General features: G+C 37.8%; 1 protein-coding gene across 8 annotated transcripts in view; it reads right to left on the reverse strand.

The window, feature by feature from the left end:
* Positions 1–19,764, reverse strand: part of PGR (progesterone receptor) — a 100,190-nt gene that overhangs the window by 25,615 nt on the left and 54,811 nt on the right. For 6 of the 8 annotated variants that reach the window (NR_073142.3, NR_073141.3, NM_001271162.2 and 3 more), the window contains one exon: positions 7,209–7,514. The exons of the other annotated variants lie outside the window; for them this stretch is intronic. Coding sequence is in view for 4 of the 6 variants with exons in the window: in NM_001271162.2 (NP_001258091.1) it covers positions 7,209–7,514 (306 nt within the window). In the remaining 2 variants the exon portion in view is untranslated. The remainder of the gene's footprint in view (positions 1–7,208; positions 7,515–19,764) is intronic. 8 annotated transcript variants of the gene reach the window in all.

The following is a 19,764-nucleotide window of genomic DNA, read 5'->3' on the forward strand; positions in this document are numbered from 1 at the left end:
CCTGTCTCTACTAAAAATACAAAAATTAGCTAGGTGTGGTGGTGTATGCCTGTAGTCTCATCAGCTACTTGGGAGGATGAGGCAGGAGAATGGTTTGAACCCAGGAGGCTGAGGTTGCAGTGAGCCAAGAACGTGCCACTGCACTCCAGCCTGGTGACACAGCGAGACTCCATCTCAAAAAAAAAAAAAAAAAAAAAAAAAAAAAGGCTCATAGAAAGTTCGTTTTCATTAATCAGATGTATTAAAACATTAACCAAGTGTTCACAATAATCTCCACAAATACATTTATTATTCTCTATATCTTTCTTGGTGAACTTTATAACTTTCTAAAAAAAGTATTTTATAATATTTAAATATTTGACTTAACTATGCTGTAATTTTTCACTTCAGGCATTTGTTTTATGTTAACCTTTGAGTAGTTTTAAACATTTAAACATTTTACAAAATTATGTAAGAATTAAATTGTTCTTTATCCAAAAACAGATCCTGTCTACATTTACATGTTTACATTCACTTTATCCTACTCTTAGTTTTTGTTTTCGTCTTTTTGCTTTTTTCTTTGTTTTTGCATTCTGGGACTAGAAATCCAGGCTTACTTTTATTTTATGACAACATTAAAGGCAAATCTTATTACAATAACTTTAAATTTATAAAATTACCAATATTTATAGCAGAAACTATATTTCTGTTTGTTTGACAGAATGGAATAGAACTCAGAAAATAACCTTTATTTACTCCACCTTTTACAGTGCTTATCTGTGATAAATGTACAATGTTAAATTGACTTGAACATGCCTAGTATAGAAATGCTATTTTTTTCCTTATTAACTGTAATATCATTCATTACTTTATGCTGAAACAAAGATGGGAACACAGAGATTAAATTCCCAGTGATGATAATGATCAGGTAAACTTAGTACATTTGAGATGACCAAAATGAAAAACCTTCACATGGAGAAGTGATGGATTATCACTAATTGTGTTTAACAAATGTTAAAAAAAAAAACACTTTTCCTTTTAAGTGACTTGACCTGATAATTTCTGACAAAAGCCCTGTTACAGCTGTCCAAATTTAGCTTAAAGAATTAACAGAAAGTATATAGTGAAGAGATGGCCTGGGGCTGGGTGTGGTGGCTCATGCCCGTAGTCCCAGTGCTTTGGGAGGCGAGGCAGGAGAGTCACTTGAGGCCAGGAATTTGAGACCAGCCAAGACCCAGTCTCTACAAACCAATTTAAAAAGCTTGTCCAGGTGTGGTGGTGCACACCTGTAGTGCTGGGGAGGCTGAAGTTACTGGGGAGGCTGAAGCAGGACGATGGCTTGAGCCCAGGAGTTCTAAGCTGCCGTGAGCTACAATCATGCCACTGCACTCCAGCCTGGGTGACAGAGTGAGAGCCTATCTCAAGAAAAAAAAAAAAAAAAAAGATGGCCTGTATGACAGTACTACTAAGTTCCCCAATCTTACTCCCAGAGTTTTGATAAAATATGTAGGTTTTGGTTCTGTAAAAAATGTCATGTAATTGAAACAGATAATCTACAACAATGGCAGAGCATTAAATATCTCAGCACCTTCTGACACAAAGCAACAACTTTCATACACAAGTATCAATGTTGAGAAGCACAAAGAAGCTTCAATATGATTAAGTATAATCACCAACGTATGTTTGATGATTTATGCTGAATAAGAAGTTAATGTCTAATAATCTAAGGTAGTACAGTTCTTTGCAAATCAATTCTGTAATTTAAATTTCTATAAATATTCTTTAACCATCTATTTGGGAGGAAGCATTATACTTGCAATTAGGATCAAGGTTAGAAAGATGCTGTTTCTGCCTTTAACACTATAGGCTTGTGAGACAGATAGAAAAGTAGAACACAATTGTAACTCAGAGTCATAGTGTTATGGTTGACAAGCACAAAGGAGACAAGGGAGGGTACAGGGTTTCCTCACCCAGTCTAGGAAGGCTCAGAGAAATCTTCCCAGAGCAAGTGACAAGTAATGCGAATCCTGAAAGATAGTTACAGGTCAGTCAAAGGAAGACGTGGGAAAAGAGATGGGCTGCCAGGTAGGAAAAATAATATGGGCAAGAGAAGAAGGCTAGAATTTGAGCAAACAGCATTTAGGGAACTAGATCTTAGAGTCGTGTGAAGAGGAATGATGAGAGATTAACACTGCAAATTCAGGAGCCAGATCACAGAAAGCCCTTGGATATTGAGGCCATGGAGTTTGGATGCTATTTGGAAAAAGAAATGGAAAATATGATTGATTAAAATTGTTTTAGAAAAATGATTCTGGGGGTAGAATAGAGGATCATTTGGGCACCACGTGAAATTGATGGTAATAGAATCAGTCAGGAGGCTGCAACATGAATCCAAGTAAAAAAAGACCAGCACCAAACTAAGTCAGGGAAGTAGCAACAGAAGTAGCATGTATAATGAATCATATATTTAATAAGTGGAGTTGATAGAATTTGACAATTTATTGGGTAAGGGGTGAAGGAGAAACTGAGCCAAGGATGATACCAAAAATTCTTGCTGAGGTGCCATTTCAAGATACTGGAAAAGGCCTTAGGTTTAGGGGGTCATGCTGACTTAGAAGTCATCTGGGTGGAGCTGTGTAATAAGCAGTTGAAAGTTCAGTAGTTTTGTAGAGGGTCTGGCTAATATTATGTATTTAGGAGTCATCGAAATATAGTGGTAGTTGAAGACAAGACTATGAATGAGCTTATGCAGACTGTGTAGAGTGAGAAATGACTGGAAAAGATAGAACCCAGAACACAAACAAATTTATAGTGTGGGTGGAAGAACAAATCCACACAGGAGTCGGGAAATGTACATAGGGAGAGAAACATATCTACCTGGAAGGGAAGTGACAAATACCTAAGCAAGAGTCTTAGCAAGAAATAGTTACTTTGCCAATAGTCCCAGAGGTAGGTGAAACACATTAAGGGCTGGAAATATTCATCTAATTTGACAAGTAAAAATTTTTGTTGCCACTGGCAATCATAATTTCAGTGGAATAGGGTGTGAGAAAAACCATGGTTTAGTCTTTATCAACACATTTATTAAGGCCTTTACTCTCAGTATGCTACTCTCATTTCTCTCTCATCATTTTTTTCTGGAGAGCAATAATTTAATTTAGTCTTCTGATTCGGGAAGGAAGAGAAAAAATCCTCTGTCAAGATGCAATGACTCACTGACTCAAAAGTTGTTTTGGCACGCTTCAAAAGCAGAAAAATGAGGCAAAATACTGTTCTAATATTCTGATACTGATAATTGCAAGTAGTCTGGTGAAATGACACAAAGAATAAAGTATGTCCTAAAAAATGCAAGGTTTAAAAATTCAAAGCATTGACCTAAATGGAGTTTTCACTAAGTTAACTGAAATATCAAGACAAAATTTATGCAACGGAAGTGTTTCCCTCATACCCCCTCTGTCACATCAATTTCACTGCAACGTATTGATGTACAGGATGAGGACAATTTAAAGGTGACACCGAATTGTGAATTAGTACTTTTAATTTAAACTCTAACATCTACAGTAATTTTTAAGACCCTCCTTGATCAGCCTATAACTTACACCTCTAAGTTTACTTTCCATTATTCAGTTCAAAATAAATTTCTTTTCAATGGTTTCTTACCATTTGGGTGATTAAATCTCCCGAAGGCCAGTACTTACTGTAGCAGTGTCCGAGGGACTGTATGTACAAATGTGTTTTCTCAATCCATAGCTACTAAAAGCTTTAATTACTACCCTATGGGGAGACTATAAAATTTTTGATGTTACTAAGGGACCCCCCACACTTGAAAAGGTTGAGAACCATTAATATGCTGGTTTAATGCATTATTCAGCAAACCTATCTCATGCTTTTCTTATTTCAGCCATACTGTTCCTTCTATCTAGAATGCTTTCTCTTATCATGATTTATCAAAGTCTTGTTTCTCCTGTAAGATGCAGTTTAACTGACATTTTTGTCTCTGAAGGCTTCTTTAGTCCTTGAAGCCAAAAATGTTCTTCTGTCCCCACTTTCATTATATCTGTATCTTATATCACTTTCACATAACACTATAGTTGTTTGGGTATCTTCTCTCTGCTACTGGATTGAGAGTTCCTTAATAGAGGGAATATGTCTTGTTCATTAAAAAAATTCAAATATCGTGTTGCTCTACATTTCAAATAAGAAAATATTGCCCACTAAGGCTACAGATAAAAGCCCATGCAAAATCACTCATTTGCAATGTATCCTAAGAGATGGTTTATAAACGTGCTGACATAAGGCTAGAGCATCTTGCAAGTCTCTATTAAAGTAAAAGGGGTGGGGTGCGGTGAGTCATGTTTGTAATTCCAGCACTTTGGGAGGCTGAGGCAGGCAGATCACTTGAGTCCAGGAGTTCAAGACCAGCCTGGGTAAAACAGTTAAACCCAATTTCAACTAAAAATAAAAAAAATTTAGCCAAGCAAGGTGGCGCATGCCTGTAGTCCCAGCTACCAGCTCATCAGGAGGCTGAGGTGGTAGGATAACTTGAGACCAAGAGGTCCAGGCTGCAATGAGCCAAGATCATGCCACTGTGGTCCAGCCTGGGCAATAGAGTGAGACCCTCTCTCAAAAAAAAAAAAAAAAAAAGAAAAAAAAGAAAAGAAACAAAAGGATATATCTGAAATATTTTTGAAGAAATATAAACTACCATTATTATAACAGATCCAAGATAATGGAAGAGTGTAGACAAAGAAGAAATGAGAAAGCCCTACCAGGCAATAAGAATTCTTAGGGCACCTGCAAATATATGCCTAGGTGTCTTCATAAACGCTGTCACCTTTGTTATGATGGTCATTCTGCATCAGATCTTAATGTGACTTTCCAAATACAGTTTCCTATTGTGAAAGAATGATCTGATCTGTTAATATATTCTCCTAGCAACATAAGTATTATGTATATTTATATTGTGTGTGTGTGCGTGTGTGTGTGTGTGTCTCACTGTAAATAAGCAAGTTAGTTGACATTCTGGCTAATTAGTGAGGATCACTTAACAAAAGTCTGTCTTCCACAGACTTATTAGTTTTATTACACATGAGTGAATGAACGAAATAAATTTCTTTTACATGCAAAACTGATGACCAGATGCTAGCATGTGCTGTACCAAAATGCATCCACACCATGAGCCCAGCCTTGTGGCTTTTCTTTCTAAACCACTGTATAATTATTAGATATTGAACACAGCAGGTACATAATAGACATTTATTGAGTGAATAAGTGAATAAAAACTGTAAGCTTATTTCAAGTCAATTGAAATCAGTTTTAAGTAGCTAATAATACTAAAGTACTTTCTATACATGTGTCCATCCAAGTCCTTTCTCAGAGGTCAAATAGTCACTCTAGCTCACTGACCATTTTCATAATTCATTCAATAGTGCTATTCCCAAAATGCAGACCATGAAAATATGGCTTTAAAAGTCCACAGGCCACAAGAGACTTTGATAATCTCAATGTTTCCCTGTTTGCAATTAATGGAAACAGTATGGGTAATACTAGTGTTGCCATTATTCTGATTTACTACACAAAAATTACATTTTGCAGCATTAAAAAAGTTGCCACCAAATTCAATGTAAGAGTTTTCTCTCATTCCTTTTTGTGGTTGTGTGGGGGTCAAAAAGTCCTGATAGATAACGGTTTCCGGTTAAAAAGGTCACTTAGCTTTTATCCAAAGTGAATAAGTCATCTTTTCAAGTATAACTGGTTATTTTCTAACGTTACCAGCTGATGCTAGAATCTTTTTAAATAGTAAAGAACCTCCAAAATTGCAAACAAAAGGAATATAAACTATATCAACAAAAACCAAAGAAATCATATTTTCCAAATAATAGAACAATGGAGAAAAATTAAACACATGTTTAAACACTCATTTTTAAACAGAAAAAGTTCATCAATGCTATTGGGTTATTTTTATTTATTAAAGCTCTGTCAAGTTTGATAACCACTATGTGATAAATCTTAAACATTTAGAATGTTCAAAAAATTATTGTCTGTTTAAGGCCTTTTGGTGAGACTGAAGCCAGTAAGAATCTGGGCATTTTGATTTTTCTATAAAATTACTTCATCTCCACTAGAATACTGAATTCTATTAACTTTTCTTAATATGTATTTTTTGAAAGATTCAACAAACAGGTATCTATTTTTCTTTCTGTTTCATGTAATTGAATTTTCAGTAACAATTCATCTATTGTATTTCAAACCTTTTAGGTAGAATAATAACTGAGAATTATATTAAGGAGAATTGGGAAGAAATTCTTTTTCTAAAAGTGCCATTGAATTTACTTGGGGACTAAAAGGACATAATATGTTTAATTCTTGATCAGATATTAGAAAAATAATTTGTCTATAGCAGTATAAGGGTATTACTGATGTGAAGAGAATGTAGTTTTTTAAAAAGTTCTATTTCTAATTATAGGAGTAATGCCTTCACAAACAATTGCTATACATGTATTCTCCTGGCTCTGCAGTCTAAGATTTAACCAAGTGAGAATTTCATCCTTGTTATTCTTTCAAGTACTTGGCTCCTACAGAGCTGTGCTGAGGGAGCAAAAATAGCTGATAAGTAAAGTGACTGAAATTCTTCTGTGATGATATAATCCAAGTTCTCTCTGTTGCTGGGCGATATACTCTCTTTGGGTATAAATTAGAGGAATAGTGACTAGAGATTCTTTTCTCTGTGTGCTATTATTTTTTAAAGTAATTTACGTTAGGGAATTTTGTTTTCTTAATTTACTTTTGACACCTTACTGTACTCTGAATACTACTTTGATTTGTTATATGACTTTATACATTCAGTTTTATTTTCAACCAAATGAGGTTGGTTGAATTAAGGGTTAGAATAAATAGGGCATTTATAAAAAATGGTCCATTTATCATTTCTGAGCTACTCTAATATCTGTGGTTGAACACATAAACCTAAGCTATTTCTTATTAGCATAAGTTTAATGTATGCAATTTCTGACTCATCAGTAAGACTCAGTGTGTTCTCTAATTTTTTATATTTCTGTAACACATATTAGGGTCCTAGACAAATATTTTGAACTGCTCAAACACATACTATCACATACTGTTTTATATTGTAGTTAATTTACTGCATAGAGTGTTTTATTTAACAATGTACTAATACAACAAACATAGTATATTTTTTATTACATGCTGTATATAAAAATTATTATTACCTGGCAATGATTTAGACCACTTGACTACTGAAAGAAGTTGCCTCTCGCCTAGTTGATTAAGACTTGTCAGCAAAGAACTGGAGGTGTCAGGTTTTGTGTTGTCATGTCCTGCATAGATCACATCTGGTTCAATGCTCATTAACAGGTTGATCAGTGGTGGAATCAACTGTATGTCTTGACCTGGTGAAAAAGTGAATCTCTGGCTTAGGGCTTGGCTTTCATTTGGAACGCCCACTGGCTGTGGGAGAGCAACAGCATCCAGTGCTCTCACAACTCTGACTTTATTGAACTTTTTAAATTTTCGACCTACAGAGAAGAAAAAAAAGAAATTCATGTAAATATATATAAACTCCATATCCCAGTATAGTATTATTTTTCCTAAGTCTTAGAATCATAGCATTATGCATTTTAGCATCAATCGAATGAAATAGAATAAAAGTGTTAGATATTAAAATTACAAAAAATAAATTAAAACATGTAACTAACTCTTGATTAAAAAAAATTTAGGCCTCAGACTTGGATTAAATAATTAGTTACATCAACAATCACTGGGTGGGTGAGGTGTGGGTAATTATACCAGTATTCTGCAGGGGTCATGGAGCTTTTTAGGAGAAGATATGAATAAAAAGACAAAGAGTTTTAGTAGCGACTACGCTCAGTATTGGTCCATATTCTGATAGAACAGCCTTCCAAAATCTAATGCTACAGACTACATTAATTGAAACTTAGTCTATAGTGGTTGTTAAATCTTCTTTGAGGTTTTGTTCTTTTAAGAATATGTTAAAAGAAAAGCATTTGTTTGCCAGCCCCACAAAATCTTTTTATACAATTTCAGTAGGTTCATTGATCCCTTAAAATCAATCCAGCTCTACTTTTATGAGATCTAAGACTCAAAATTAATAATCCTTTTTCTAAATTAAGGAAAGAGAAAGTTTATACCCGTGCTGGTCAGATCACATTTGTATTTCTGGATGATTTCTGGAGTTTCTACTTTGATGAATTCTGATATGTTAGGGGAAAAAGATGGATGGTGAGATGAGTAGAATCTGCTTTATGAGAAATGATTGAAGGAGAAAAGGATGCTTATTTGGGCTGCTGGTAGTTCACAGACGCCTTGAGGAGAATTAGAGAAAGTTGTGGTGATGTGATATCAGGCTGGATTCAGCCCCACCTGCTTTGTGCCAGGCAAGGGCTACTTATCAGTATGAAGTAGCTGTTTAGCCAAGGGAAGGCTGATACCTGCAATTATCTAAGCAGAGGTTGCAATCTGCTGGCTCTAGTATCTGATCATGCCCATAGATACATTTTGTTTGGCTCAGACAATGCTGACCAGAATTATGAGACCATCCGTGAATTACTTAGGTGGCAACAATCTGTTAAAGTTTAGTTGCAATGGTTGCTTTTGGATGGGGCATGTGTATTCCAGTTTTTCCAGTTCCCTCCACAAACTGGTGGTACGCCAATGGTCTCTTTTCTTAAGTCTTGTCACTCTAGCTACTTATTTACCTGGTCTCTGTAAACATTTGTCTCTGAGATTTCTGAACTCAGGGTATTGTCATAAAGAAAAAGGATTATACTTGTTCTATAAAGCCCCAAGGAATGGCCAGGCATGGTGAGCTCATGCCTGTAGTTCTAGCACTTTGAGAGGCCGAGGTGGGCAGATTACCTGAGGTCAGAAGTTCGAGACCAGCCTGGCCAACATGGTGAAACCCCGTCTCTACTAAAAATACAAAAATTAGCTGGGTGTGGTGGTGGGCACCTGTAATCCCAGTTACTCCAGAGGCTGAGGCAGGAAAATCACTTGAACCCAGGAGGCAGAGGTTGCAGTGAGTCAAGATCATGCCATTGCACTCCAGCCCAGGTGACAAGGGAGAAACTCCACCTCAAAAAAAAAAAAAAAAAAAAAAAAAAAAAAAAAAAAAAAACAGCCCCAACGAGTTGAGCTAAAACTTGTAGGAGATGGGAAAACAAAACAATTGCCATGGTTAAAAAACAAAGGGGATTCAAAATTATTTGCAGAGATCAAATGAGCTTTCTGGGGGAAGGAATGAGTCACAAAGGGAAGGGAAGGAACAGTTATGGAGTATATAGCATATGCCAGGAATTGTGTGTGTGTGTGTTTGTGTCTAAGGGAAGATAATGTTAAGAAGAGGGCTAAAGTTTCCCTGTCCATGACTATAATCTTCAACAAAGGCACCACCTGTTTGTCACCTTTATTTATTTTTTCCAGTGTCTTTTGGCAATACATGTCTGCTAAATGAATGAAGGAATACATTATTGTCTTTTCCATCTCCCACTCTGAATATCTTGTCTTTATTATCTGTTGCTGTATGGTTTGCACTACATAATATTGTTTCAGTCAATGACAGACCACATATACAACAGTGTTTTCATAAGATAGTATTTTTTACTGTACTGTCTCTATCTTTAGATATGTTTAGGTACACAAATACTTACCATTGCATTACAGTTGCCTACAAAATTCAACAGAGTAACATGCTGTATCGGTTTGTAGCCCAGGAGCAATGGGCTACACCAAACAGCCTAGGTGTGTAGTAGGCTATACCATCTAAGTCTGCGTAAATGCATTCTATGATGTTCAATGATGAAATTGACTACTTCATGACACATTTCTCAAAATGTATCCCTACTCTTAAATGACGCATGACTGTTTTTGTTGCCTTCAGAGAACATAGCTTCCTCCACCAGGCTTGCTGCCCTGTAAGGATAGGGGCTAGGTCCATTTCACTCACTAATGTAGATCTGAAGCTTTATAAACTGCTAACTACACAGTGGACTCCTGATAGATATTTGCTAAGTTATTAAAGTAGTTGTTTTGACCTAACATAGCTTAAAAAAGAATATGAGAAGAGAGTACTAAAAAGGGAATGTGAACAGCAATGTGATTTTTAAAAACCACTTTGTTGTTTTTTTATATAGGATATTTGTTCAAAGAAGTTATTCCTAACCTTTATGCATAAGAACCATTACTAAGTAATGCAAGTAACAAATAAATCTGTAGAACTTCATATAATTGTACTCTTAGCATTTGTTGATTGAGAAAATAAGACAATGGCAAAAAGTACTCTGAATTCAGTGACTAGACAATGGCAAAAAGTACTCTGAATTCAGTGACAGTTTAGAATGACTTTGTATTATATTTTTGCACCTCTGAAAAATAACGACACCTGGTATTTTGGGTAATCTAAGCAGAGAATAGGCATGTGGGGTCAGTGGTCCCCCACTCCCCTGCCCGCTGCATTGACATCAGGAGATGACAGGCATGGGAGCTTTGTTGGCTGGAAGGAGGGAAGATTTGGGCTGAGACGCTGGGGGTGAGCAAGGGGGGATAAGAAAGCGGATGGACATGGTGGCTGAATAGTTGTCTCTCATTCAAGCTGATGGATGAGGTTTTGAGGGATTGAATCAGAAGCAGAGGTAATGATTTGGGGGAGGCTTAGGGGGAAAGAAGCTCCATTTGGAGAATATTTTCTTTGTGGCCAATCTACAGTATGGCTACCCCTGTACTCTGCCTTCCCTCCTGTTACAATTCATACTCCTGACATTTCAATACCAAATCTTAGTCCTTCTCACCCACTCAGGGACTTTTCTCTGAAATCATTTGCCCTCTTGTCTGCATCCTCTAATAGTCCCTCTCACACATAATGTATTCCGTGGAGAAATATCACTCTCTTCATTTCCTCTCCTCCAATTCTCCCTTGAACCTTCTCCAGTCAGGTCATTCCTCTCCTTATCCCAACCAAATTATTCTTGGCAAGGCCTTCAAAGATTTCTAAATGTCAAAAAACAATGGCCAATTCTCAGTCCTGGTCTTAACCCGGGTAAGTACTTAACACATTGATCGTTTCCTTCTTCTTTTAACGCTCTTATTCATTTGGCTTCCACATATTTCATTCTTGTAGTCACTCTTTCAGTCTCTCTGTCTAGCTCTTTTTCATCTTCTCAACTTCTAAATCTTTGAGTACACCAAGCTCAGTCCTCAGACTTCTCTTAGATATCTATGCTCTTTCTAGGTGTCTGCATCTAGTTCTATGTCTCTAATATCATCTAGACATTAATGATTACCAAATTTACAGTCCTAGACCCAGCTTTTCCAAGAAACTCTAGACTCAACTATGCAACTGTATTCTCAGCATCTCCACTTGTATTTCTAACAGACCCCTCAAATTAATATGTTTAGAGCAGAACTTTGATGCATTGGTCCAAACATGCATCTTCTAGGTTTGTAACTTCATTTACACACCTGCTGCTCTAGCCCCAAACTCTAGAGTCATTACTGATACCTCACTTATTTTCTCACCTCATATCTAATACATCAGCAAATCCTAGTGGATAACCATGAAAATATAACCCAAATCCAAATACCTGTTTCCACTGCTTGCACCATAATTTATGTCCCCACAATCACAGTTGGACTATTGTAACATATGCTGGCTGGTTTCCCAGCTTTCACTTTTTGTAGACTATTTTCTATACAACTTTAAAGACTTAATCAGACTATGTCATTCTTGCTTGATATTTTCAGTGACTCCTGATCCTACTTAGAATGAAGTTAAAATTCATATCAAGCTCTACAAGGCCCAACTTACCCTTGCATAGATGGTCTCTCTTCTATTCTCCCTCATGCTCCACCCATATTGATGCCCATCTTGCCCTTGAAGTGTGTTTCTGCCTTGGGGTCTTACACTGACAAGTTCCTCTGCATGAAATGATTTTTTCCTTGGATATTTGCATGGCTTGCTTCCTCACCTAATTTATATTTCTGCATATCGCCTTATCAGATAGCTTGTTTTTATCTATCCTATAGATATTTATAACATATATACCCAAAATACACAAAGAATTCCTATAAATCAGAAAGAAAAGGCATGAACAGATATTTCACAGAGGAAGAAATATATAGATGACAAAATACAACAATATGACTGACCTCATTATTAACCAGAGAAATGCAAAGTAAGACCACATGAGACATCATCTACCTAAAACGGCAAGGACACAGAATACAGGAACACACAAAACAATGAAGAGCTGCCATGGAGTGTAAACTACTACTACTTTAAAAACAATCTAGCATTATCTAGTAAAGCCCAGCATGAGCATGTATTACAGTCAGAAATTTCATGCCCAGGTGTGCAGGTTACCTACAGAAACTCTCACACATGAACCACCAGAATACATGTAAAATAATGTTCACAATTGAACTGTAGGTAAAGCACAGCAAATATCAAGTGGAAGTACATGTCAATACATGAGAATAAATAAATGGGAGATACTCATACAATGAAATCATACAGTGTAGGAAAAAACAAACCAGAATAATACAAATCAAAATAAAAAACACAAATATAATATTAGGCAGTAAGATCAAATTGCATAAATATACATAGCATTTCTATGGAGTAGAAAAAAACATCTCAAAACTAAAAAATCTATTAGTGAGAAATACATAGATATTAAAAAATCCTACAGAATAATATAAGAAAATGACCAACTCCAAATTAAAGATATAGAGGTTTCTGGAGAAAGATAAAGAGGAATGTGATAAGGAAGAAATATGCAATCAATTTCAAGTGTAGTGATAATATTCATATTTTCTTAAGCCAACTGAGTCCAGAGGTGGATGTTAATCATATTGTTTCTATATGTCATTTGCTTTATGTGCATTTTTTTATGAATAAAATATATTAAAAAGTATGGCTTATTCTTAGGATACAAAATCAATGTGCAAAAATCACAGTCATTCCTATACACCAATAATAGACAAACAGAGAGCCAAATCATGAGTGAACTCCCATTCACAATTGCTACAAAGAGAATTAAATGCCCAGGAATACAACTTACAAGGGATGTGAAGGGCCTCTTCAAGGAGAACTACAAAACACTGCTCAAGGAAATCAGGGCACAAACAAATGGAAAAACATTCCATATTCATAGATAGGAAGAATGTATATTTTGAAAATGGCCATAGTGACCAAAGTAATTTATAGATCCAATAATAGCTCCATCAAGCTAACATTGACTTTCTTCACAAAATTAGAAAAAAATTACTTTAAATTTCATATGGAACCAAAAAAGAGCCTGTATAGCCAAGACATCCTAAGTCAAAAGAACAAAGCTGGAGGTATCATGCTACCTGACTTCAAACTATACTTCAACTCTACAGTAACTAAAACAGCATGGTACTGGTACCCAAACAGATATATAGAACAATAGAACAGAACAGAGGCCTCAGAAGTAACGTCACAAATCTACAACCATCTGATCTTTGACAAACCTGACCAAAAAAAACAATGGGGAAAGGATTCCCTATTTAATAAATGGTGTTGGGGAAACTGGCTAGCCATATGCAGAAAACTGAAAGTGGACCCCTTCCCTACACCTAATACAAAAATTAACTCAAGATGGACTAAAGACTTAAACATAAGACCTAAAACCATAAAAACCTTGGAAGAAAACCTAGGCAATACCATTCAGGACATAGGCATGGGCAAAGACTTCATGACTAAAACACCAAAAGCAATGGCAACAAAAGACAAAATTGACAAATGGGATCTAATTAAACTAAAGACCTTCTGCACAGCAAAAGAAACTATCATCGGAGTGAACAGGCAACCTATAGAATGGGAGAAAATCTCTGCAATTTATCCATCTGACAAAGGGCTAATATCCAGAGTCTACAGGGAACTTAAACAAATTTACAAGAAAAAAAAAACATCAAAAAGTGGGTGAAGGGTATGAATAGACACTTCTCAAAAGAAGACATTTATGTGGCCAAAAAACATGGAAAAAAGCTCATCTTCACTGGTCATGAGAGAAATGCAAATCAAAACCACAATGAGATACCATCTCACACCAGTTAGAATGGCGATCATTAAAAAGTCAGGAAACAACAGATGCTGGAGAGGATGTGGAGAAATAGGAAAGCTTTTACACTGTTGGTGGGAGTGTAAATTAGTTCAACCACTGTAGAAGACAGTGTGATGATTCCTCAAAGATCTAGAACCAGAAATGCCATTTGACCCAGTAATCCCATTACTGGGTATATACCCAAAGGATTATAAATCATTGTACCATAAGACACATGCACATGTATGTTTACTGCAGCAGTATTCACAATAGCAAAGACTTGGAGCCAACCCAAATCCTCATCAGTGAGAGACTGGATAAAGAAAATGTGGCACATATACACCATGGAATACTATGCAGCCATCAAAAGGGATGAGTTCATGTCTTTTGCAGGGACATGGATGAAGCTGGAAACCATTCTTAGTAAATTAACACAAGAACAGAAAACCAAACACTGCATATTCTCTCATAAGTGGGAGGTGAACAATGAGAACACATGGACACAGGGAGAGGAACATCACACACCAGGGCCTGTTGAGGGGTGGGGAGCTAGGGGAGGGATAGCACTAGTAGAAACATCTAATGTAGATGATGGATTGTTGGGTGCAGCAAACCACCATGGCACATGTATATCTATGTAACAAACCTGCATATTCTGTACATGTATCCCAGAACTTAAATTAAAAAAAAAAAAAGTAGAGTGGTTGCTGGCTGGCAAGATGGCTGAATAGGAATAGCTCCGGTCTGTAGCTCCCAACGCGATCAACACAGAAGGTGGGTGATTTCTGCATTTTCAACTGAGGTACCCACCTCATCTCATTGGGACTGGCTAGACAGTAGCTACAGCCCATGGAGAGCGAGCTGAAGCAGGGTGGGGCATTGCCTTACCCGGGAAGTACAAAGAGTGGGGAAACTCCCTCCCTTAGCCAAGGGAAGCCGTGAGTGACTGTGCTGTAAGGAACAATGTGTTCCGGCCCAGATACTATGCTTTCCCCATGGTCTTTGCAACCCACAGACCAGGAGATTCCCTTGGGTGCCTAAATCACCAGGGCCCTGGGTTTCAAGCACAAAACTGGGCAGCCATTTGGGCAGACAATGAACTAGCTGCAGGAGTTTTTTTTCATACCCCAGTGGCACCTGGAATGCCAGTGAGACAGAACCATTCACTCCCCTGGAAGGGGGGCTGAAGCCAGGGAGCCAAGTGATCTAGCTCAGCAGATACCATCCCCACAGAGCCCAGTAAGTTGAGATTCACTGGCTTGAAATTCTCGCTGCCAGCACAGCAGTGTGAAGTCGACCTGGGACGCTGGAGCATGGTGGTGGGAGGGGCGTCCACCATTACTGAGGCTTGAGTAGGCAGTTTTCCCCTCACAGTGTAAGCAAAACCACCTGGAACTTCAAACTGGGCAGAGCCCACTGCAGCATGGCAAAGCTGCTGTAGCCAGACTGCCTCTCTAGACTCCTCTCTGGGCAGGGCATCTCTGAAAGAAAGGCAGCAGCCCCAGTCAGGGGCTTATACATAAAACTCCCATCTCCCTGGGACAGAGAACCTGGGGGAAGGGGTGGCTGTGGGCGCAGCTTCAGCAGACTTAAACGTTCCTGCCTGCTGGCTCTGAAGAGACCAGCGGATCTCCCAGCGCAGTGCTCAAGCTCTGCTAAAGGACAAACTGCCTCCTCAAGTGGGTCCCTGACCCCTGTGCCTCCTGACTGGGAGATACCTCCCAGCAGGGGTCGACAGACACCTCACACAGGAGAGCTCTGGCTGGCAATCTGGTGGGTGCCCTGCTGGGATGAAGATTCCAGAGGAAGGAACAGGCAGCAATCTTTGCTGTACTGCAGAGTCCGCTAGTGATACCCAGGCAAACAGGGTCTGGAGTGGACCTCCAGCAAACTCCAGCAGACCTGCAGCAGAGGGGCCTGACTGTTAGAAGGAAAACTAACAAACAGAAAGGAATAGCATCAACATCAACAAAAAGGATGTCCACACAAAAACCCCATCTGAAGGTCACCAACATCAAAGACCAAAGGTAGATAAATCCATGAAGATGAGGAAAAACCAGTGCAAAAAGGCTGAAAATTCCAAAAATCAGAATGCCTCTTCTCCTCCAAAAGATCACAACTCCTCACCAGCAAGGGAATAAAACTGGACGGAGAATGAGTTTGACAAATTGACAGAAGTAGGCTTCAGGAGGCGGGTAATGACAAACTCCTCTGAGTTAATGGAGCATGTTCTAACCCAATGCAAGGAAGCTAAGAACCTTGAAAAAAGGTTAGAGGAATTGCTACCTAGAATAACCATTTTAGAGAAGAACATAAATGACCTGATGGAGCTGAAAAACACAGCACAAGAACTGTGTGAAGCATACACAAATATCAGCAGCCAAATTTATCAAGCAGAAGAAAGGATATCAGAGATTGAAGATCAACTGAATGAAATAAAGCATGAATACAAGATTAGAGAATAAAGAATGAAAAGGAACAAACAAAGCCTCCAAGAAATATGGGACTATGTGAAAAGACCAAACTTACGTTTGATTGGTGTACCTGAAAGTGACGGGGAGAATGGAACCAAGTTGGAAAACACTCTTCGGGATAGTATCCAGGAGAACTTCCCCAACCTAGCAAGACAGGCCAACATTCAAATTCAGGAAATACAGAGAACACCACAAAGATACTCCTCGAGAAGAGCAACCCCAAGACACATAACTGTCAGATTCACCAAGATTGAAATGAAGGAAAAAACGTTAAGGGCAGCCAAAGAGAAAGTCGGGTTACCCACAAAGGGAAGCCCATCAGACTAACAGCAGATCTCTCTGCTGAAACCCTACATGCCAGAAGAGAGTGGAGGCCAATATTCAACATTTCTAAAGAAAAGAATTTTCAACCCAGAATTTCATATCCAGCCAAACTAAGCTTCATAAGCAAAGGAGAAATAAACTCCTTTACAGACAAGCAAAAGCTGAGAGATTTTGTCACCACGAGGCCTGCCTTACAAGAGCTCCTGAAGGAAGCACTAAACATGGAAAGGAACAACCGGTACCAGCCACTGCAAAAACATGCCAAATTGTAAAGACCATCGATGCTAGGAAGAAACTGCATCAACTAATGGGCAAAATAACCAGCTAGCATCATAATGACAGGATCAAATTCACACATAATACTATTACCCTTAAATGTAAATGGGCTAAATGCCCCAATTAAAAGACACAGACCAGCAAACTGGATAAAGAGTCAAGACCCATTGGTGTGCTATATTCAGGAGACCCATCTCACAGGCAGAGACACAATATGCTCAAAATAAAGGGATGGAGGAATATTTACCAAGCAAATGGAAAGCTAAAAAAGGCAGGGGTTGCAATCCTAGTCTCTGATAAAACAGACTTTAAACCAACAAAGATCAAAAGACAAAGAAGGCCATTACATAATGGTAAAGGGATCAATGCAACAAGAAGAGCTGACTATCCTAAAAATACGTACTCAATACAGGAGCATTCAGATTCATAAAGCAAGTTCTTAGAGGCCTATGAAGAGACTTAGACACCCACACATTAATGGGGGAGACTTTTAACACCCTACTGTCAATATTAGACAGATCAACAAGACAGAAAATTAATAAGGATATCCAGGACTTGAACTCAGGCTCTGGACCAAGTGGACCTAAGAGACATCTACAGAACTCTCTACCCCAAATCAACAGAATATACCTTCTTCTCAGCACCACATTGCACTTATTCTAAAATTGACCACATAATTGGAAGTAAAACACTCCTCAGCAAATGTGAAAGAATGGAAATAATAACAAACAGTTTCTCAGACCACAGTGCAATCAAATTAGAACTCAGGATTAAGAAACTCACTCAAAACTGCACAACTACATGGAAACTGAACAACCTGCTCCTGAATGATTACTGCATAAATAATGAAATTAAGGCAGAAATAAATAAGTTATTTGAAACCAATGAGAACAAAGACACAACATACCAGAATCTCTGGGACACAGCTAAAGCAGTGTTTGTTTAGAGGGAAATTTATAGCACTAAATGTCCACAGGAGAAAGTGGGAATGATCTAAAATTGACACGCTAATATCACAATTAAAAGAACTAGCGAAGCAAGAGCAAACAAATTCAAAAGCTAGCAGAGGACAAGAAATAACTAAGACCAGAGCAGAACCGAAGGAGATAGAGACATGAAAAACCCTTAAAAAAAAAAAATCAATGAATCCAGGAGCTGGTTTTTTGAAAAGATTAACAAAGTAGATAGACCACTAGCCAGACTAATAAAGAAGGGAGAGAAGAATCAAGTAGACACAATAAAAAATGATAAAGGGGATATCACCAGTGATCCCACAGAAATACAAACTACCATCAGAGAATACTATAAACACCTCTATGAAAATAAACTAGAAAATCTAGAAGAAATGCATACATTCCTGGACACATACACCCTCCCAAGATGAAACCAGGAAGAAGTTGAATTCCTGAATAGACCAATAACAAGTTCTGAAATTGAGGCAGTAATTAATAGCCTACCAACCAAAAAAACCCCAGGACCAGACAGATTCATAGCTGAATTCTACCAGAGATACAAGGAGGAGCTGGCACCATTCTTTCTAAAACTATTCCAAACAATAGAAAAAGAGGGAATCCTCCCTAACTCATTTTATTTGGTATCATCCTGACACCAAAACCCGGCAGAGAAACAACAAAAAAGAAAATTTCAGGCCAATATCCCTGATGAATATTGATGCAAAAATCCTCAATAAAATACTGGCAATCCAAATCCAGCAGCACATCAAAAAGCTTATCCACCATGATCAGGTCAGTTTCATCCCTGAGATGAAAGCCTGGATCAACATACGCACATTAATAAACGTAATCCATCACATAAACAGAACCAATGACAAAAACCACATGATTATCTCAATAGATGCAGAAAAGGCCTTTAACAAAATTCAACACCCCTTCATGCTAAAAACTCTCAATAAGCTAGGTATTGATGGACCGTATCTCAAAATAATAAGAGCTATTTATGGCAAACCCACAGCGAATATCATAATGAATAGGCAAAAGCTGAAAGCATTCCCTTTGAAAACCAGCACAAGACAGGGATGTCCTTTCCCACCACTGCTATTAAACATAGTAGTGGAAGTTCTGGCCAGGGCAATCAGGCAAGAGAAAGAAATAAAGCGTATTCAAATAGGAAGAGAGGAAGTCAAACTGTGTCTTTTTGTAGAGGACATGATTGTATATTTAGAAAACTCCATCATCTCAGCCCAAAATCTCCTTAAGCTGATAAGCAACTTCAGTGAAGTCTCAGGATACAAAATAAATGTGCAAAAATCACAGGCATTCCTATACACCAATAATAGACAAACAGAGAGCCCAAACATGACTGAACTCCCATTCACAATTGCTACAAAAGGAGTAAAATAGCTAGGAATACAAGTCACGAGAAATGTGAAGGACCCCTTCAAGGAGAACTACAAATCAACGCTCAAGGAAATCAGAGAGGACACAAATGGAAAAACACTCTATGCTCATGGATCAGAAGAATCAATATCATGAAAATGGCCATACTGACCAAAGTAATTTATAGATTCAATGCTATCCCCAACAAGCTAACATTGACTTTCTTCATAGAATTAGAAAAAACTACTTTAAATTTCCTATGGAACCAAAAAAGAG

This window comes from Homo sapiens, chromosome 11 (genome assembly GCF_000001405.40).
Source record: "Homo sapiens chromosome 11, GRCh38.p14 Primary Assembly".
NCBI classification, from domain to species: Eukaryota; Metazoa; Chordata; class Mammalia; order Primates; family Hominidae; genus Homo; species Homo sapiens.